Source organism: Homo sapiens, chromosome 7 (genome assembly GCF_000001405.40).
Source record: "Homo sapiens chromosome 7, GRCh38.p14 Primary Assembly".
NCBI classification, from domain to species: domain Eukaryota; kingdom Metazoa; phylum Chordata; class Mammalia; order Primates; family Hominidae; genus Homo; species Homo sapiens.
The window spans coordinates 43,057,814-43,079,068 of record NC_000007.14 but is presented as its reverse complement, the minus strand read 5'-3'; the positions used below and the strand labels follow the sequence as shown (position 1 = coordinate 43,079,068).

The 21,255-nt window shown below is 40.2% G+C and overlaps 1 long non-coding RNA gene across 1 annotated transcript, besides 4 other annotated features; it reads left to right on the top strand.

The window, feature by feature from the left end:
* Positions 867–1,659: an enhancer, noted in NCBI's record as "NANOG-H3K27ac-H3K4me1 hESC enhancer chr7:43117009-43117801 (GRCh37/hg19 assembly coordinates)". NCBI's record gives its function as "activates a minimal SCP1, AML or CMV promoter by ChIP-STARR-seq in primed H9 embryonic stem cells {active_cell/tissue: H9 hESC(primed)}" and the evidence as "EXISTENCE:reporter gene assay evidence [ECO:0000049][PMID:30033119]".
* LOC107986790 (uncharacterized) lies at positions 2,690–10,268 on the top strand. The gene is made up of 3 exons (XR_001745189.2): positions 2,690–2,790; positions 7,081–7,215; positions 8,315–10,268. It is a non-coding gene; the product is annotated as an uncharacterized LOC107986790 (long non-coding RNA).
* Positions 5,445–5,739: a silencer, noted in NCBI's record as "tiled region #5110; HepG2 Repressive non-DNase unmatched - State 21:Repr, and K562 Repressive DNase matched - State 8:EnhW". NCBI's record gives its function as "represses a minimal TATA promoter and a strong SV40 promoter by Sharpr-MPRA in HepG2 and K562 cells {active_cell/tissue: HepG2 | K562}" and the evidence as "EXISTENCE:reporter gene assay evidence [ECO:0000049][PMID:27701403]".
* Positions 19,083–19,683: an enhancer, noted in NCBI's record as "OCT4-NANOG-H3K27ac-H3K4me1 hESC enhancer chr7:43098985-43099585 (GRCh37/hg19 assembly coordinates)". NCBI's record gives its function as "activates a minimal SCP1, AML or CMV promoter by ChIP-STARR-seq in naive H9 embryonic stem cells {active_cell/tissue: H9 hESC(naive)}" and the evidence as "EXISTENCE:reporter gene assay evidence [ECO:0000049][PMID:30033119]".
* Positions 20,625–20,919: a silencer, noted in NCBI's record as "tiled region #4044; HepG2 Repressive non-DNase unmatched - State 24:Quies". NCBI's record gives its function as "represses a minimal TATA promoter and a strong SV40 promoter by Sharpr-MPRA in HepG2 cells {active_cell/tissue: HepG2}" and the evidence as "EXISTENCE:reporter gene assay evidence [ECO:0000049][PMID:27701403]".

Here is a 21,255-nt window from a genome sequence, read left to right as displayed (position 1 = left end):
TGGCCTGGGGTAATAAGGCAGATAATGTTGCCTCCTCCTCGGATGGAAGAGGAGGTATGGCTCCGGCTGGTTAGTTTGCATATCAAAGGCATGCTCCTAGCTAAGTTCTCTGTTACCTCCAGGAACTGGCTAGCCCCAGGAGAGTCAGTCTGTACTCAGAAAGAGTATTTTAAGATGTCAAAACGTTGTAATACACAGAAAATGAAAAAATATGTACATGATACACATTTATATTTTCCTATGTTCATTTTTGTGAAAGTTTGCAGCCATGCATTTATGCAGGTACATCAATATTTTGATGGGGTTGTATCATCATTTTATACACCAGTCAGTCTAGGGTCCCATGGGTTGGCTGGTTTGCCATCCCATTTACTTCAACCACACCTGGGAATTTATTCCCACTCTGATCCAAGAATGAGCAGGAATCCCCTTTCCTTAGCTGAAATAATTGCCCACTTTAAATACTTTTAGTTTCTGATTTTAAAGATATATATTGATATAGGTATAGGTATATAGTGTAAACTAAAAATAAAATCCCAAGCTCCATACTGACTGAACGGACCCCCTCTTGGCCAAGAGTACCCCAGAGAAACTTTAAAAATTGAATCCCCAGACATGACGGGAAGGGAGGTGGAACACGCCTTGTTACACCCCCTCCCTTTTGGAGTTTAGGCACAACTGACTGGCATTAATGCTAAAATAGAGATCATAACATTAACAACAACAACAAAAAGAACATAACATTAACTGTTTGTGACAATAAGACACCAAATTATAAACAAAACCTAAGGCCATGCCAGACAATGGTTAAGTCACACACCCCTATACGTCACTCTGACCCATGTTAACAGAATTTCTTATCTTAAACATTCCTTTCTGCTGACTCCGAATTTTTACAGAGTATTCTTCCTTTAACCATTTGCAAATTGAAGAATCTCTGCATCTATCTATAACCTGGAAGCCCCTACTTGAAGATATCCCACCTTTTTGGGCTGAATCAGTGTATATCTTCCATGTATTTGAGACAGCCAGGGAGGATGGGGTTCCCAGAGAAACTCCAACTGGCCTGCACACTGGGGCGGAGCCACAGAAGTCTGCACCCTTTGCAGCGGGGTGGAGTTGGCTCCTCCTCTTCCTGTGTGGAACCTGCAATTCAAGCTGCCGGCCGGAAGCTCTCTAGCAGGGACTCTGACCTTGTAGAGGATCCCTGTTTCCCCTGTTTTTTCCCTTTTCACCCAATAAAACCCTGTCTTACTCACCCTTCAAACTGTCTATGAGACTAAGTTTTCATAGCTATGGGACGGACAAGGACCCTGTCTTTAGCTGAACTAAAAAAGTCCTGTAACATTTTTGGCTCCCAGTGTGGGGCTTGAGAAGCAGTGAGTGAAATGGGGACTCAAAAACTCTCACTGTTGCTTCTGAGCCTTTTCATCCTCACACTTCTGAGGATGGAGGAAACCATTTCGCTCCCTCCACCCCGCCCCGTCACTCCCGGGCCTTTTCATGGCCTTTTCTTTCCTTTTTTGGGAGGGACCCGTGAGCAGCAGCTCCCCTCCACCCGCTATTCCCTGCCTGTTCCCTGCTGGGCCTAGGACGCATGGCCCAAGGGTCCGGCACAGCTGGCTGGCTGGTTCCCAGCCACGCACTGCTGCTGCAGTCTTCCCCTTCCCTGGCCAAGGGGTTTAACTCTATTGGACAGTAATTAAGCTTAAGCTTTTTTCCCTGCTGGAGGAACCAGTTGCATAAGAATAAGAGGTTCTTCTCCAGGCATTTAAAAACTGTTTTTTGCTTCCACTTCTCTACCCCGTCAGCAGTTAACTTTTAAAGTTGTTTTTTTTTTTCTTTTGGAAGACTTTTTTTACTAGGCCAGGTCCCCCAACTATCACTGTTTGTACTCTGTAAAGTTTTGCTTGTGAAAAAGGATCTTGTGAAGACTGGGTTTTCTTCTGTCTCTCTGTGTGTGTATTGTGTGTAACGTCTGTAAAAAGAGCTCTACTTAATTTGCCCTAAAGAAAAACAAGTGCTTGGATCAAGTATTTTTTTAAGGAAAGTTAAAAGCTGTGGTACCTTTCAGTTCACGTGACTTTAATCTTTGAGAAATAAAAACAGCCTTAAAGATTATTGGTTAAATGCAGGTCAGATGTGAGACAAGAAGTCTTCTTCAGATCAAAGGTTTTTCTCGATTGAAGCGTTCGTGGTCTCACGGGCTTCAAGGAATGAAGCTGTGGACCGCAGCGGCGAGTGTTACAGCTTGATTAGAGAAACGCACAGACCCAATGAGTGTGCGGTAGCAAGACTTATTAAAGCGAAAATAAAGCTTCCACGTGGTGGAAGGGGACCCGGAAAGGTTGCCGATTTTGGCTTGGGTGTCTTATGCTTATATCCCATTATGACCCCTCCTCTTTTCCTTTTTCTGTCCTATAGAATTAGCTTATGTTCTATCCACTTGTGGGTTGGCAGGCCTGATTGGTTAAAAACATCAGGCTGCAGCTAGAGCTTAAACGCCCTATATGATTGGTTGAAGTTTCAATTCCTTAGCTTGCAGCTGTGACTCATTTTGGCTTAGGGGAAAGTCCCCTTTGATTGGTTGACGTTTCAAGCCCTTAGCTTGCAGCTGTGACTTATTTTGGCTTAGGGGAAAAAATCCCCTTAGGGAAGTCCCTAGGGACCCAGGAAGTCCAGCCAACTTAGCCACTTAGTCCCTCAAGATGCAAGGTTTGCTAAGTGTTTTGAGGTTGCAAACTGACTTCTGGGTTTTGAGAACTATTTGACTTTCTGGCTTCACAACTGGTAAGACCTGGGGACGTAAGGAACTAACCGCGTCCTTAACTAAGAGGGCAAAGCTTAGCTGCAGTTAGCACACAATTAAAGCAACTTACCAAGTTTTACCTTAAAGTTAAAAATAGCTAGGAGTTAATTGAAACTACTAGAAATAGATTTGCATGCAAGGTGTGTAAGAACAGTAAAATGTATTTTTTAGTAAAAGGTTATAAGAAGGCATGGAAATGTAAACTTTTGCCTAAAGTTTTTAAGGATTAAAGGATTAAAGGATTTTTTGAGTTAAATCAGGAAAAAGCTGAAGGTTCAAAGAAGGGGTAGAAGAATTACGGAAATCAATCTTGCAGAAGAGGTTCTGTGTGTGAACGTATTGACTAAATTCAAAAAAGGGTATTATATGGTTTTTTCTGTAAATTGAGCATTGAAATAAAAGCATAACAAGGTTTCCTAAGGCGTTAATCTGCTCTTTGGCAAAATTTTTAAAGGATTATAAAAGATTTTTGATTATTTAAAATTTCGAAGTCATCTTTTTGGCAAAATAAATAACTTATGGTAATCTGGAATTCTATTTCATAATATCAAGTGTTTTAAACATATTTAAAAGGCTGCCCAAAATCGACCTTAAGTTTTAAAATTGTCTTTCCTGACACCTGGCTTTTTGAATACTTCAGAGGGCCCATGAAGTGTCCAGAAAAGAGGTAAAAGGAATTATTTAACATGTTTAGGTACATGGGATTGCCAAAATGATGCTCAATCTTCTTTAGGTTATATTTTGGTGAATAATGCTAATATATGTTCCAAAATTGTATGGGATTATCTAAAATTCTAATGTGCAAGTATATGCTATCCATCGTAATTAGGGTTGTTATGTTAGGTTATTGTAAACCGTGGAAATAACCAAACTTCTTTGTCAATCGTTGTTTCTAACAGTAACTATCCTGGACATTTTGCTATTCACAGACAATTGTTGTCTTGTTTTAATCCTTTTCAAAAATGGTTTATAATGAGCTATAGAACTTTAACAGGTGCTCTCAAATGCAGGCTTCTGATAACTTTAGAGGTTGTATCACTGGAATAAAGGAAAATGTATAGGACTCATAAAGAGCTGAAATGTTCATGAATAGCAAGCAAAACAAGAATTAACTAACTGGACTGAACTCAGGAAGCTGAAGCAAATCTTTTTGACCTTTGCTTGGAATATTTCTGATCCTTGTTTTATTTTTTCAGAGTCAAGGAAACTTATTTTGAACTATTTACAGCCTTTAATAAGTAAGTTATACACTCCTGTGATAAAAATTTGGAGCACGTTTGTTTCTCTCTGCCTGAATCCTCTAGAATTTGGAAACTATTTGTGAATATTCTTATGGCAATATCATTGTTTGCATCAGTGCAATAAGAATCCATTTTTCTTTTGCAACAGAACACAATTGGAGAAAGTCGTTATTTTACCAAGGATTTGACTGGAAGGGTATGCTTCCCTTTAAGGAGTCAATTTTGACTTGCAGAGCCAATAAAAGCCCAGTGAGGAAACTGGTCTCATACCCTTGTCTATGCAGTCCGTGTACAGGGTTCTTGACCTGTGGTCAGTAAAGAATGTCACTTTCTAACAGGTCCAGGAGCTCCAAGTTTATTATGGGACCTTAAGAGGAAAGGATCACCCAACTCACAGGGTTTTGAGGATACAAACCCATGGTTGGGCTCAGTTTTAAAAGGTCTTATCTGAGATTCCTTGTGGAACAAACTTCCATCAAAGCCAATCTAAAAGGCCTAATTAGAAAGAATTATTCTTGCTGCACTTTATGCAAATAATCAGGCCAAGTATAAGACTAAAATTTATTTTGTAAACCATTCAGTCCTATGATGATTTTTTTTTAACAAAAATGAGGACTGGAGAGAGAAATCATGTTTCAAAACTTATACATTTGTCATTAAATTCTTTTTTTATTATACTTTAAGTTCTGGGGTACATGTGCAGAACATGCAGGTTTGTTACATAGGTATACATGTGCCATGGTGATTTTCTGCACCCATCAACCTGTCACCTACATTAGGTATTTCTCCTAATGCTATCCCTCCCCTAGCCCGCACCCCCTGACAGTCCCTGGTGTGTGATATTCCCCTCCCTGTGTCCATGTGTTCTCATTGTTCAGTTCCCACCTATGAGTGAGAACATGCGGTGTTTGGTTTTCTTCCCTTGTGTTAGTTTGCTGAGAATGATGGTTTCCAGCTTCATCCATGTCCCTGCAAAGGACATGAACTTATCCTTTTTTATGGCTGCATAGTATTCCATGGTGTATATGTGCCACATTTTCTTTATCCAGTCTATCGTTGATGGACATTTAGGTTGGTTCCAAGTCTTTGCTATTGTGAATAGTGCCGCAATAAACATACATGTGCATGTATCTTTATAGTAAAATGATTCATAATCCTTGGGGTATTTACCTAGTAATGGGATTGCTGGGTCAACATTTGTCATTAAATTCTAAACTCATTCGTTGTTTTTAAGTTTTTGCCTACATTTTAGACTAACCCTGCTTGCTCCTATGAACCAACCAGCAATCCCTGGCTGCAGCTCAGAAAGAACAAAGGGGATAGGTAATGTAGAAATTCAGATCAATATTCTAGTTCTGAGCAATTATCCTACAAATCCTGCCAGGTAATGGAATAAATAGGATGCCCATCACTCGGAGGTTTCCTTTTGGGAAAGTAAGACCAAGGGAGCTAACAAAAGCCAAGCACCATGCACCCAAATTCTGTCAAGCATAAATATAGCTACCAGTTATCTGGGTGTGTCACAAGACATCCTTTTCTCTCTTGTTGGAGGAGGACTCAGTTCCACAGCTTCACTTTTGCATTCGGCTTATGATAAGAAGTCCATGCAACCCCCGCTGAGACACATTTTTGTCCCAAACTCAATTCCAAGCATCGGGTCAAAGCCCTAGGAAAGAAAACTGGATCTGAGGGATCCAGAGGCAGACAATAACAGAAATTAAAAGGCACAACACAGGTAAGCGTGGCTGATTCCTGCCGATTAAGCCAACCCCAGGCTTCCTGTTTCATGGATAAAGACCACATTAATATCCGTGGCATAAATGAGGTCTAGGGAATCCAAGGCTGCTGGCAGCAGGGGAGATAGGGCATATGTGGATAAGAGCGGATGATTCTCACCCACTAGGCCCCCTGCTTCATGGGTGCAAGCCGCTCTTCCACCCAAGGTGGCACCTGCCAAGGTTGCTGGGACTTGGGGATGCAAAGATGGAAGAGGAAAGAGGATGCTTTTCCCTCTCTCCCTCATGTACCTCTGAAGAAGGAATTTATGAATTTTACAAGTATAATCAAAGACAACCAAAAATGTTTACTTTTTCCTTCCAAAGCTAACTGTAGTGTAGCCCCACCCCGTAGTGTAAGTTAGAGAAAAATACTAACTGCCTGTTTTTCCTTTTGTGCTCAGCGAGCCTTATCTGTACTTGCTAGTTTCACATTCCTTGAGGCTCAGCGAGTTCCTGCTTCACCTCCCTAGCACAGCTGCAAAGTTACAAGGTTGACACAGAAATGGTTTATACAGTTAATGGTTTCCCAAAGATGTGAAACATGTAATATAAATAAATGTAAAAGACTGATCAACTGCCTTTGCTCTCACTTCTGTAAGTACACTTCCTGCATCACATAGTTCCCGGCCACTGGCTGCTTAAAAAGTGGCTGTTTTCTTTGTCCGGGGCTCAGACTTTCCTGGACGCTAGTCCTACTGAGCCAGGTGATCACCTTTTAATAAAGACCTTTCCTGGACTCACTCTGTTCGGTCTCTCCCATCTTTGATTGTCCCACAATACCTTGGGTATCTTCTAGGAAGAGAAGGGAACCAGGGATGCCTGCCCCCCTCTTTCTAGATGGGTAGCCATTCGCCTTCAGTCTGTACCCCTTTTGAATGCATCCTGAACCTCTAGGACTCCTTTTAAAAAAAAAAAACACCTTCTTTTTTTCCTTTCTCCTCCTCTGTCCTCTTCACTGATAGGTAATTGTGTCTTCATACTATGGGACACTCCCCTCAGAAACATCCTCCAAACTGGAAAGAATTAATTTCCCAAACCTTAACCTGGCTGGCTTAGGAATGGGCTCAGGGGAAGGGAACCCAGAAGACTGACATGCTGGCAAAAGCGTAAAGTTTTTTCTTAACCAGTTGGGCTTTTGGCCTTGTGCAAACTGGTAAAAGGCCTTGGAATTTTTGAGCTGTTCTTACCCCTCTCCTTGTTTTGTTTTGATACATGTTTTCTAATAAGCTGGTTTGTCTATTCTTGCCTTCAGGCCATCAAACTACAGTCAGTCATGCAACAGGAGCCTCTGATGACGACCCTTTCTGCTGGGAACCCTTAAATAGGCCTCTGAGGGAGCTCTGACTGCGGCTTCCCCCAAAACAGCGCCCCCTGTCAGCAGGAGGCAGTTAAGATCGCTCTTCTTCCTTATCCTTATTCTAATGGCAGTTAGATGTACCTCTCTAGAGCGGGGAATGAGACAGCCAGGTGGGAGGGGGTCCCCAGAGAAACTCCAGCTGGCCTGCACACTGGGATGGAGCCACAATAGTTCACATCCTTTGCAGCAGGGAGGAGCCAGCTCCTCCTCTTCTGTGTGGAACCTGGAATTCAAGCCGCTGGCGGCAAGCACTCTAGCAGGGACTCTGACTTGTTGAGGATCCCTGTTTCCCCCTTTTTCTCCCCACTTTTCACCGAATAAAACTTTGTCTTACCCACCCTTCAAACCGTCTTTGAGCCTAAATTTTCATGGCCCGGGGACGGACAAGGACCCTGTCTTTAGCTGAACAGACCTGCAAAATATTGATGTCTTTGCCTGTAACTCTTGCCTCCCCGAAAGGTATAATACTCAACTGCAACCCAGCTCCCTCAATATTTTAAATCTTTATTGTAAAAACATCTTATTTTAAGAAATGGGATGTGCAAGGGAAATGGTAATTATGTTCCCAAAGCATCAATAATTTCAAAAAGAGAATGCAGGGGAAGATTGCTTTCCATAGTTTTAGCATAGAAAGTTTAATACTCTATCACAAACAAGGCACCTTCTCCCTGTAGCCCTCTGCAGCTTTCAGAGCACACTGTGATACAATTTCAAAAGGAAGCCACTTTTATAAATTCATACCCACCCTGGTGTGCAACTGAAAAAAGTGAAAAAGTAAAACCCACTTTCTCAGGACCTCTTGAGACTGTGTTCCCCCGCCATGGTCACTCATATTGGCTCAGAATAAACCTCTTTAAAATATTTTACAGAGCTGGTTTTTCTGTTAACAATGCCTATTTTATCAGTTATTTTATTCATTTACCCCTGAAATCTTAAAACAGACTTAAGGAAATTCACAAATACCAATAGATAAGATAAAGCTACGTTAACAATAAGTAAGGAAGGAAATATGGGCAAAAGAAAAATAAAGCAGAGAGCTGGGATGCCAGATGGCTTGAAAGTCAAACATATGTAAATAAAAAGCATTAATAATCATCTTAATTATATTCTATGTTATATTTTATTTCAGATAATGGAGCTATTTTTTTCTTTCGTTGTCCAAGTGGAAGATGTTAAAAAAGAAACCCTCAATGGTAATGCAGTTTATACCAACTTCACACAATCTGTTACACTCATTGATCCGTGGAATAATCATGACACTCAAATGAATTTGTATGCTGGTATTTACTATGGGAATGTAAAAAGAATATTACACTAGGTTTTGACAGATTTGGGCTAACAGGTAAATCTTTATTGTAAAAGATTTTATTTTAAGAAATGGGATGTACAAGGGAAATGGTAATTATGTTCCCAAAGCATCAATAATTTCAAAAAGAGAATGTAGAAGAAGATTGTTTTCCATAGTTTTAACACAGAAAATTTAATACTCTATCAAAAAGAAGGCACCTTCTCCCTGTAGCCTCTGAAGCTTTCAGAGCACACTGTAATACAATTTCAAAAGGAAGCCACTTCTATAAATTCATACCCACCCTGGTGTGCAACTGACAGCTTCAGAGGTAACATTATTGACTGCTTACACAAGAAAATCTTCATGCAATGCAAATTTAAATTTCCAAGCATTTAATATTTTTTCAAGATATTGTAGAACCAAAAATTAGTAAATATTTTTTAAAGTCCAGCACCCTTTTGAGAAAGAATAAATCTTCTTATTTATGGCCTTGCTTTTATCATATAATAGTTGAATCTGTGTAATATTTTCTTAAGTAATAAGCATAATAACAAAATTAATACCTGTGAATCTAGCACTCAAATTGTGAACTCAGATCTTCCTAGTCTCACTGGAGTTACCTGAGTCTTACAACCCCACCACCTGCCGCACCAGAGGTAGCCATAGCACAGAAATCCATAGCTTTTATGTATGCGTAGATCTTTAAACATTATGTTGTTCCCCTTTACTTGTGCTTGAGTCTTAGAAAAAGGCACAATACTTTATTTAGTTCTCTGTAATTTGATTTTATTTATTTACCATTTTAAACTGAATAATTACTTCTAAGATTCATCCATTTTGTTCCATTTAGCTACAATTTATTATACACTAGTGAAATGAGTATTTTGCATACTAAATAAATATTCTACATTAAATAATAATTCATTCTCTCATCAATCAATATCAGGTTTTTTCCAATATTTTGAAATACCAAATAATGCTACTATGAGTATATTTGTATATATGACTTCTGGAACACATATTCATGAAAATATACTTGAGAATGAGATTTCTGGATCACAGGAAACTCAAGTATTTAACTTTTTCAAGTAATGCCAAGTTGACGCTCCCATAGACAGCGTGCATTTTCTTCTTTTGCATTCTGACACTTGGTATTGTTAGAGTTCTTATGTATTTACCCATTTAACAAAATTATGTTCTCGTTTTGAATTTCCATGACTACTAAGCATCCACTAAGCATACTTCCCTATCACTCTATCTATCTATCTATCCATCCATCCAACTATCTACCTATCATCTACCAGTCATTTTTGTTTTGTTTTCTATAGAATGCCTGTTCATGTTTTACTCCTTTTCCCAGTGGATTGTCTTTTATGATTAAATCATAAGAATTTTTATATTTCTGGATATTAGTCTTTGTTGTAAGTTCTCTCAGATGATGGCTTATCTTTTTGTTTTCACTATGGTGTCTTTTGGAGAACAGTAAGTCTTAATTTTAGTTTCTTAACTTTTATGTTGGTGGCTTTTGGGTCTTATTTAAGAAAAAATTTCTTAAAGTCAGAAAGATAGTGTCCTATATTTTCCACCAAGTGTTTAAGTATGACTTTTATATACCTTTTAAGTCACTAATCCATTAAATTTTCTGTATGGTATGAGAGAGAAATTCAATTGCATTTTTTTCCATGTGGATAAGCCAATTACCCCTGCACCATTTATTGACAAATCTATCCTCCTCCCACTGATGGGCAATTGCACCACTGTCACATATCAAGTCTCCTTCTATGTATTTGTTTGTTTCTGGGTTCATTATTTTGTTGCCTTGGTCAGTATGTTTAATTCTGCATTAAAAACATATTTTAAAACTTACCATTTTCAAAAACTTAAAACTGTAGAGACAGAAGGAAGATCAGAGGTTGCTGGGGACAGGAGTGGGGAAAGGGATTGGCCACAAGAAGACACGAGGATATTTGAGGGAGGAGGTCACAGAAATAATTTATAACTTGATTGTGGGGAGGATTATATGGCTGCATACATTTGTCAACACTCAGAGCTGAACAAATTTTACTGTAACTTAGAAACATTTGCAAAACAGTAATTTTATATTTTGTTATTTTTCCTCATAAATGACTTCACTCTTCTTGGGGTTTTGCTTCTCTGTATAAATTTTAAAATCCTATTTTGACAAGTTTCACCAAAAATAAACCTGTGGGAATTTTGATTGAAACTGTGTTGAATATAGATAAATTTTTGGAATGTGGCATCTTATCCATGAAAACAGTATATTTCTCCTGTTAAGACTTTTTAAATGTCATTTAATAATTAAATATTAAAAATATTTTAGAGCCAGGTGTGGTGGCACATGCCTGTAGTCCCACCTATTCGGGAGGCTGAGGCAGGAGGATGGGTTAAGCCCAGGAGTTGGAATCTAGCCTGGCCAACAAAGTGAGACCCATCTCTAAAAAAAAAAAAAAATCTAAATATTAAACATTAAAATATTCTATATACATATGGCTGGATTATTAAACTGTTGTCTCTTGTTTCAAGCCCACCCTTCTATACCCTGCCATGGATACTGGACTAAGTCTCTGCAAACTGTATTTCTGCCAAATGGCTTCCTTTTAGGTTCCATAATGACGGATGCTGGGGAAGAATGGAAGGCAGGAAGGGAGAAGAGCCTTGTGTTCACTCAAGCAATGGATTTTTACCGTGGCAGGCACATTTGGTTCTGGAATAATTGGTTCCAGTTTCCAGCTCTTTTTTTCCATTCTCAGACCCGATTTAATCGACTTAATCATATCACCTTAAAGGTATAATCATTACCTTGGTAATTTCTGTTTCTCAGAAACCTAAGCCCTATTCTCTGGGTCCCCTCTTCAAAGATTGCGAAGCACCAACACATGTCAAGCAGTCCTTTCTGACTGGTGTACAAAAGTGCAGTTGACAGCTGGGAGTGGTGTCCAATGCCTGTAATCCCAGCACTTTGGGAGGCCTAGGCTGGTGGATCCCTTGAGCCCAGGAGTTCAAGATCAGCCTTGTCTACATGGTGAAACCTCATTTCTACAAAAATTGCAAAACTTAGCCTGGCATGGTGGTGTGTGACTGTAGTCCCAGCTACTCAGGATGCTGAGGCAGGAGGATCACCTGAGCCTGGGAGGTCGAGGCTGCAGTGAGCCCTGATCACACCACTGCATTCCAGTCTTGGTGACAAGAACGAGATCCTGTCTCTTAAAAAAATAGCAATTGACTTAAATCTAATAAGCTTACGTCTGGATACCTTGCTATACTCTCACATTTATCATGATTTGCATGCAGATTCTTTGAGATTTTCTATATGGACAATCATATTATATACAAATAATGACAGTTTTGTTTATTCTTTTCTATTCCTTATGCCTTTGTCTCTCTTTCTTCTTTCTTTCCTCTTACTCTGCTGAATAAGATCTCCAGTATAATGAGGGATACAGGATATCTATTATGGCCACAGTACATATCCTAGTTTTATTACTGGCTTTAAAGGGAAGACTTCTAATGTTAAATCATTAATAATATTTATTATTTCCTGTAAGTTTTTTTGTGGACATCATTTAACATGTTAAGGAAATACCAGCTTGGTCAACATGGCAAAAACCCGTCTCTACTAAAGATGCAAAAATTAGCTAGGTGTGGTGGTATGTGCCTATAATCCCAGCTACTCGGGAGGCTAAGGCAGGAGAATTGCCTGAACCCAGGGGGTGGAGGTTGCAGTGAGCCGAGATTGCACAACTGCACTCCAGCCTGGGCAAAACAGCGAGACTGTCTCAAAAAAAAAAAAAAAAAAAAAAAAAAGGAAATAATACACTTATATTCATGATTTGCCAAATTTTTTATCAGGTACAAGTGCTGAATTTTTCAAAAGCTTTTAAAAAATGTATTGAAATGATTACATTTTCTGAAATTTTGTTCTTCTTGAGGAGAACTATATTCATAGATTGCTTTAATGTTTATCCATCTTTGCATTTCTGGGGTTTGTTTATCTCTCTTGGCTGTGTTGTATTATCTATTCTTGTACATGACTAGATCATATTTACTATTATGTTGTTTAGGATTTTTAAATCTCATTTATGGATAATTAATTTTTTCCTTTCTCACAGTACCATTTTCTGATATTGGTATTAAAATAGAAAGTGTTCTCTCTTTTACATTTCCTGAAAAAAGTTTGCATAATATTGGAAAGATCTGTTCTTTGAAAATTTCCTAGAACTTGACTGTAAAACCATCTGAGCTTGATGTTTTTGTGGGAACACTATAGGTTTCTCTAATGGTTAGAGAAGCAGTCAAGCTATTTCACCCTGAGTTAGGTTTTTTATAAGCTATATTATTCTCAAATTTTATTTTTATTTTTTTTATTTTTGAGACAGCATCTTACTCTGTCACCCAGGCTGGAGTGCAGTGGTACTCTGCATTGAGTGAGTGCAGTGGCTCACTGCGGCCTTGACCTTCTGGCCTCAGCCTATCCTCCTGCCTCAGTCTCTCGAGTAGCTGGGACCACGGGCATTCACCACCATGGTTGGCCAATTATTTTTATTTGTAGAGATACGGTCTCCCTGTGTTGCCAAGGCTACTCTTGAACTCCTGGGCTCAAGTGATCTGCCCACCTTGGCCTCCCTAAGTGCTGGGATTACAGGTGCGAGCCACTGTGCCCTGCCTAGGATTTTATTTTGTACACATTTTAAATTGTGTTGGCATTAAGTTGTTCATGGTATTTTCACCTCTTATCTTTCATTCCTAATTTATTTATTTGTGCATCTCTCTCCCTCTCTTCCTTTTTTTTCTCTTTTCTTTATTCATCTTGGCAGAAATTTGTCATTTTATAGGGATGTTCTGAAATTCAGCTTCCACCTCCGTATTTGGCCAAAATATAACAGTAAATTTCTGCTTCAATCAAACTTTTAGAAATCCAAATAGCCAAATGGCTATTTCAATATCGTCTGTACAGCCCTGAATGGTGTGCCATCGGTGATTATTTAATGGCATGGATTAATTACCATAAGAATAATATAGCAAACATTTATAAAGTTTTCATTCTTTTATCACATCTTAGAAGACAGACATAATGAACCTAGGTCATCTTAGATCAGTAGAAGCCCAAAATGTACCAACTTCCAACAAACAAGACCGTTTACATTATTGTATTATCTCACTCCTGAGGCATGGGAGTCTAAAAGAACTGACATTTCAGAAAAATCCCCAGACCTCAGTCCATTTAGCAAGCAAATTTGACTTTCTAAAGCTTCTTGCTTCTACTTCTCTCATAGGTGGTTTGTTTTTACTTTTGGTTTTGGACATAGTAGCCAGATCTTCCTTTTCCCTAATCTGCATGTTAGATGCTTATATTCTGAAGCCTTCCCTCCCTCCCTCCTTCCCTCCTTCCTTCCCTCTCTCTCTCTCTTTCTTATCTTTTCTTTCTTTCTTCTTTCTTTTTTTTATTTTTTTATTTTTATTTTTATTTTTTATTATACTTTAAGTTTTAGGGTACATGTGCACATTGCGCAGGTTAGTTACATATGTATACATGTGCCATGCTGGTGTGCTGCACCCACTAACTCGTCATCTAGCATTAGGTATATCGCCCAATGCTATCCCTCCCCCCTCCCCCTACCCCACAACAGTCCCTAGAGTGTGATATTCCCCTTCCTGTGTCCATGTGATCTCATCGTTCAATTCCCACCTATGAGTGAGAATATGCGGTGTTTGGTTTTTTGTTTTTGCGATAGTTTACTGAGAATGATGATTTCCAATTTCATCCATGTCCCTACAAAGGACATGAACTCATCATTTTTATGGCTGCATAGTATTCCATGGTGTATATGTGCCACATTTTCTTAATCCAGTCTATCATTGTTGGGCATTTGGGTTGGTTCCAAGTCTTTGCTATTGTGAATAATGCCACAATAAACATACGTGTGCATGTGTCTTTATAGCAGCATGATTCATAGTCCTTTGGGTATATACCCAGTAATGGGATGGCTGGGTCAAATGGTATTTCCAGTTCTAGATCCCTGAGGAATCGCCACACTGACTTCCACAATGGTTGAACTAGTTTACAGTCCCACCAACAGTGTAAAAGTGTTCCTATTTCTCCACATCCTCTCCAGCACCTGTTGTTTCCTGACTTTTTAATGATTGCCATTCTAACTGGTGTGAGATGGTATCTCATTGTGGTTTTGATTTGCATTTCTCTGATGGCCAGTGATGATGAGCATTTTTTCATGTGTTTTTTGGCTGCATAAATGTCTTCTTTTGAGAAGTGTCTGTTCATGTCCTTCGCCCACTTTTTGATGGGGTTGTTTGTTTTTTTCTTATAAATTTGTTTGAGTTCATTGTAGATTCTGGATATTAGCCCTTTGTCAGATGAGTAGGTTGCGAAAATTTTCTCCCATTTTGTAGGTTGCCTGTTCACTCTGATGGTAGTTTGTTTTGCTGTGCAGAAGCTCTTTAGTTTAATTAGATCCCATTTGTCAATTTTGGCTTTTGTTGCCATTGCTTTTGGTGTTTTAGACATGAAGTCCTTGCCCATGCCTATGTCCTGAATGGTAATGCCTAGGTTTTCTTCTAGGGTTTTTATGGTTTTAGGTCTAACGTTTAAGTCTTTAATCCATCTTGAATTGATTTTTGTATAAGGTGTAAGGAAGGGATCCAGTTTCAGCTTTCTACATATGGCTAGCCAGTTTTCCCAGCACCATTTATTCAATAGGGAATCCTTTCCCCATTGCTTGTTTTTCTCAGGTTTGTCAAAGATCAGATAGTTGTAGATATGCGGCGTTATTTCTGAGGGCTCTGTTCTGTTCCATTGATCTATATCTCTGTTTTGGTACCAGTACCATGCTGTTTTGGTTACTGTAGCCTTGTAGTATAGTTTGAAGTCAGGTAGTGTGATGCCTCCAGCTTTGTTCTTTTGGCTTAGGATTGACTTGGTGATGAGGGCGTTCCATATGAACTTTAAAGTAGTTTTTTCCAATTCTGTGAAGAAAGTCATTGGTAGCTTGATGGGGATGGCATTGAATCTGTAAATTACCTTGGGCAGTATGGCCATTTTCACGATATTGATTCTTCCTACCCATGAGCATGGAATGTTCTTCCATTTGTTTGTATCCTCTTTTATTTCCTTGAGCAGTGGTTTGTAGTTCTCCTTGAAGAGGTCCTTCACATCCCTTGTAAGTTGGATTCCTAGGTATTTTATTCTCTTTGAAGCAATTGTGAATGGGAGTTCACTCATGATTTGGCTCTCTGTTTGTCTGTTGTTGGTGTATAAGAATGCTTGTGATTTTTGTACATTGATTTTGTATCCTGAGACTTTGCTGAAGTTGCTTATCAGCTTAAGGAGATTTTGGGCTGAGACGATGGGGTTTTCTAGATATACAATCATGTCGTCTGCAAACAGGGACAATTTAACTTCCTCTTTTCCTAATTGAATACCCTTTATTTCCTTCTCCTGCCTAATTGCCCTGGCCAGAACTTCCAACACTATGTTGAATAGGAGTGGTGAGAGAGGGCATCCCTGTCTTGTGCCAGTTTTCAAAGGGAATGCTTCCACTTTTTGCCCATTCAGTATGATATTGGCTGTGGGTTTGTCATAGATAGCACTTATTATTTTGAAATACGTCCCATCAATACCTAATTTATTGAGAGTTTTTAGCATGAAGGGTTGTTGAATTTTGTCAAAGGCTTTTTCTGCATCTATTGAGATAATCATGTGGTTTTTGTCTTTGGGTCTGTTTATATGCTGGATTACATTTATTGATTTGTGTATATTGAACCAGCCTTGCATCCCAGGGATGAAGCCCACTTGATCATGGTGGATAAGCTTTTTGATGTGCTGCTGGATTCGTTTTGCCAGTATTTTATTGAGGATTTTTGCATCAATGTTCATCAAGGATATTGGTCTAAAATTCTCTTTTTTTGTTGTGTCTCTGCCTGGCTTTGGTATCAGAATGATGCTGGCCTCATAAAAAGAGTTAGGGAGGATTCCCTCTTTTTCTATTGATTGGAATAATTTCAGAAGGAATGGTACCAGTTCCTCCTTGTACCTCTGGTAGAATTTGGCTGTGAATCCATCTGGTCCTGGACTCTTTTTGGTTGGTAAGCTATTGATTATTGCCACAATTTCAGGTCCTGTTATTGGTCTATTCAGAGATTCAACTTCTTCCTGGTTTAATCTTGGGAGAGTGTATGTGTCCAGGAATTTATCCATTTCTTCTAGATTTTCTAATTTATTTGTGTAGAGGTGTTTATAGTATTCTCTGATGGTATTTTGTATTTCTGTGGGATCGGTGGTGATATCCCCTTTATCATTTTTTATTGCGTCTATTTGATTCTTCTCTCTTTTTTTCTTTATTAGTCTTGCTAGCGGTCTATCAATTTTGTTGATCCTTTCAAAAAACCAGCTCCTGGATTCATTAATTTTTTGAAGGATTTTTTGTGTCTCTATTTCCTTCAGTTCTGCTCTGATTTTAGTTATTTCTTGCCTTCTGCTAGCTTTTGAATGTGTTTGCTCTTGCTTTTCTAGTTCTTTTAATTGTGATGTTAGGGTGTCAATTTTGGATCTTTCCTGCTTTCTCTTGTGGGCATTTAGTGCTATAAATTTCCCTCTACACACTGCTTTGAATGTGTCCCAGAGATTCTGGTATGTTGTGTCTTTGTTCTCGTTGGTTTCAAAGAACATCTTTATTTCTGCCTTCATTTCGTTATGCGCCCAGTAATCATTCAGGAGCTGGTTGTTCAGTTTCCATGTAGTTGAGCGGTTTTGAGTGAGATTCTTAATCCTGAGTTCTAGTTTGATTGCACTGTGGTCTGAGAGACAGTTTGTTATAATTTCTGTTCTTTTACATTTGCTGAGGAGAGCTTTACTTCCAACTATGTGGTCAGTTTTGGAATAGGTGTGGTGTGGTGCTGAAAAAAATGTATATTCTGTTGATTTGGGGTGGAGAGTTCTGTAGATGTCTATTAGGTCTGCTTGGTGCAGAGCTGAGTTCAATTCCTGGGTATCCTTGTTGACTTTCTGTCTCATTGATCTGTCTAATGTTGACAGTGGGGTGTTAAAGTCTCCCATTATTAATGTGTGGGAGTCGAAGTCTCTTTGTAGGTCACTCAGGACTTGCTTTATGAATCTTGGTGCTCCTGTATTGGGTGCATATATATTTAGGATAGATAGCTCTTCTTGTTGAATTGATCCCTTTACCATTATGTAATGGCCTTCTTTGTCTCTTTTGATCTTTGTTGGTTGAAAGTCTGTTTTATCAGAGACTAGGATTGCAACCCCTGCCTTTTTTTGTTTTCCATTTGCTTGGTAGATCTTCCTCCATTCTTTTATTTTGAGCCTATGTGTGTCTCTGCACGTGAGATGGGTTTCCTGAATACAGCACACTGATGGGTCTTGACTCTTTATCCAATTTGCCAGTCTGTGTCTTTTAATTGGAGCATTTAGTCCCTTGACATTTAAAGTTAATATTGTTATGTGTGAATTTGATCCTGTCATTATGATGTTAGCTGGTTATTTTGCTCGTTAGTTGATGCAGTTTCTTCCTAGTCTGGATGGTCTTTACATTTTATCACGATTTTGCAGCGGCTGGTACTGGTTGTTCCTTTCCATGTTTAGTGCTTCCTTCAGGAGCTCTTTTAGGGCAGGCCTGGTGGTGACAAAATCTCTCAGCATTTGCTTGTCTGTAAAGTATTTTATTTCTCCTTCACTTATGAAGCTTAGTTTGGCTGGATATGAAATTCTGGGTTGAAAATTCTTTTCTTTAAGAATGTTGAATATTGGCCCCCACTCTCTTCTGGCTTGTAGGGTTTCTGCCGAGAGATCCGCTGTTAGTCTGATGGGCTTCCCTTTGTGGGTAACCCGACCTTTCTCTCTGGCTGCCCTTAACATTTTTTCCTTCATTTCAACTTTGGTGAATCTGACAATTATGTGTCTTGGAGTTGCTCTTCTCGAGGAGTATCTTTGTGTTGTTCTCTGTATTTCCTGAATCTGAACATTGGCCTGCCTTGCTAGATTGGGGAAGTTCTCCTGGATAATATCCTGCAGAGTGTTTTCCAACTTGGTTCCATTCTCCCCATCACTTTCAGGTACACCAGTCAGACGTAGATTTGGTCTTTTCACATAGTCCCATATTTCTTGGAGGCTTTGCTCATTTCTTTTTATTCTTTTTTCTCTAAACTTCCCTTCTCACTTCATTTCATTCATTTCATCTTCCATCGCTGATACCCTTTCTTCCAGTTGATCGCATCAGCTCCTGAGGCTTCTGCATTCTTCACGTAGTTCTCGAGCCTTGGTTTTCAGCTCCATCAGCTCCTTTAAGCACTTCTCTGTATTGGTTATTCTAGTTATACATTCTTCTAAATTTTTTTCAAAGTTTTCAACTTCTTTGCCTTTGGTTTGAATGTCCTCCTGTAGCTCAGAGTAATTTGATCGTCTGAAGCCTTCTTCTCTCAGCTCGTCAAAGTCATTCTCCATCCAGCTTTATTCCATTGCTGGTGAGGAACTGCGTTTCTTTGGAGGAGGAGAGGCGCTCTGCTTTTTAGAGTTTCCAGTTTTTCTGTTCTGTTTTTTCCCCATCTTTGTGGTTTTAATCTACTTTTGGTCTTTGATGATGGTGATGTACAGATGGGTTTTTGGTGTGGATGTCCTTTCTGTTTGTTAGTTTTCCTTCTAACAGACAGGACCCTCAGCTGCAGGTCTGTTGGAATACCCTGCCGTGTGAGGTGTCAGTGTGCCCCTGCTGGGTGGTGCCTCCCAGTTAGGCTGTTCGGGGGTCAGGGGTCAGGGACCCACTTGAGGAGGCAGTCTGCCCGTTCTCAGATCTCCAGCTGCATGCTGGGAGAACCACTGCTCTCTTCAAAGCTGTCAGACAGGGACATTTAAGTCTACAGAGGTTACTGCTGTCTTTTTGTTTGTCTGTGCCCTGCCCCCAGAGGTGGAGCCTACAGAGGCAGGCAGGCCTCCTTGAGCTGTGGTGGGCTCCACCCAGTTCGAGCTTCCCGGCTGCTTTGTTTACCTAAGCAAGCCTGGGCAATGGCGGGCGCCCCTCCCCCAGCCTCGCTGCCGCCTTGCAGTTTGATCTCAGACTGCTGTGCTAGCAATCAGCAAGTCTCCGTGGGCGTAGGACCCTCCGAGCCAGGTGCAGGATTTAATCTCGTGGTGCGCCGTTTTTTTAAGCCGGTCGGAAAAGCGCAATATTCGGGTGGGAGTGACCCGATTTTCCAGGTGCGTCCGTCACCCCTTTCTTTGACTTGGAAAGGGAACTCCCTGACCCCTTGTGCTTCCCAAGTGAGGCAATGCCTTGCCCTGCTTCGGCTCGCGCACGGTGCGGGCACCCACTGACCTGCGCCCACTGTCTGGCACTCCCTAGTGAGGTGAACCCGGTACCTCAGATAGAAATGCAGAAATCACCCGTCTTCTGCGTCGCTCACGCTGGGAGCTGTAGACCGGAGCTGTTCCTATTCGGCCATCTTGGCTCCTCCGGGTAAATCATTTTATTGTTATAAAAATATATAAGGTAGTTGTCATTATTATTCCAATTTTTAGATTAGTAAACAGAGGCACAAAAAAAGTAAAATAACTGACTCAAAGGTGATATGGTGAATAAGTAGTGGAGTTGGCACTTGAACCCAGGCAGCCTTCTTCTGGAGTCCTTGTTCTTAACAGTGTTCCTTGATTTTTGTCACCTGGTACCTCTGACCCAGGCACTTGTGGCACCTGAGGCCAATGTGCTCAAAAAGGGTTGAGAATTGCTTGCAGTGATCACATGTTCATAAACCATATTCTTGGGCAAACGTGTGTATACTCTCAGTCAGAAATGGATTTTCACTGTTTCCAGGAGTCTGTGTTGGAGAAAGGGAAGGGCGGGTTACTCTGCTGTATGTTCAGTACATCTGTAAATGGCCCATCTGCAGATGAGCTCAAGGTGAATGGGGGTTTCAGAGGACCATTTGCATCAAAGAATGTAAGACAGAAGTGAAACTCTACTGAGAGCTCAACTCTTGAAATCTCCCTGTAGAACAGACTAAGGAGTGGTAAGGAATGCCCACACACTGAGTCCCAAAAGAACCCCACGTGTCACTAAAATGCTGGCTACTCCAATGGAGCCAATAACCTTCCAGGGTTCTTCAGGGGCACAGCAGTCTGCATAGGAGCCTGAAGGTCAACATGGGTGGGCTGCCAAGTTTCCTTCCCACAGCCAGCTATAAGGTAGGCGGATTAACCATGAGACGAGGTCTATGACTTCATGAGGTGCTAGAAGGGGTTGGATGTCTTGTAATTCTTATCTGAAATGTTTTGGGAGGGGCAGAGGGAGGAGACAGATGAGATGTCGGGAAAGTGTAAGGATAACACCCAGTTGTTAAGGTTCTAGTCTTTTAGGAACTCTGGGACCATTCATATACAGACCTTCTTGAGAAACAACTTTTTCCTAGTCTCACATGTCCCCTCCCTTTAAATATGGAGAGAAATAGCTGGGATAGCTGGTCTGGCCTAAACAGACTCCTATCTACAAGAATGTGGAGATGTGTGCACACACACATGCACACGCACACACTTACTGCTTTCCTTACTTTTAGCCAGGGAGGAGTCACTGAGGGCACTCCATTGACACTCCTTCCTTCTATTAAACACCTAAGTCTTAGGCCAGGTGTGGTGGCTCACACCTGTAAGCCCAGCACTTTGGGAGGCTGAGGCGGGTGGATAACCTGAGGTCAGGAGTTTGAGACCAGCCTGGCCAACAATGGTGAAACCTCATCTCTACTAA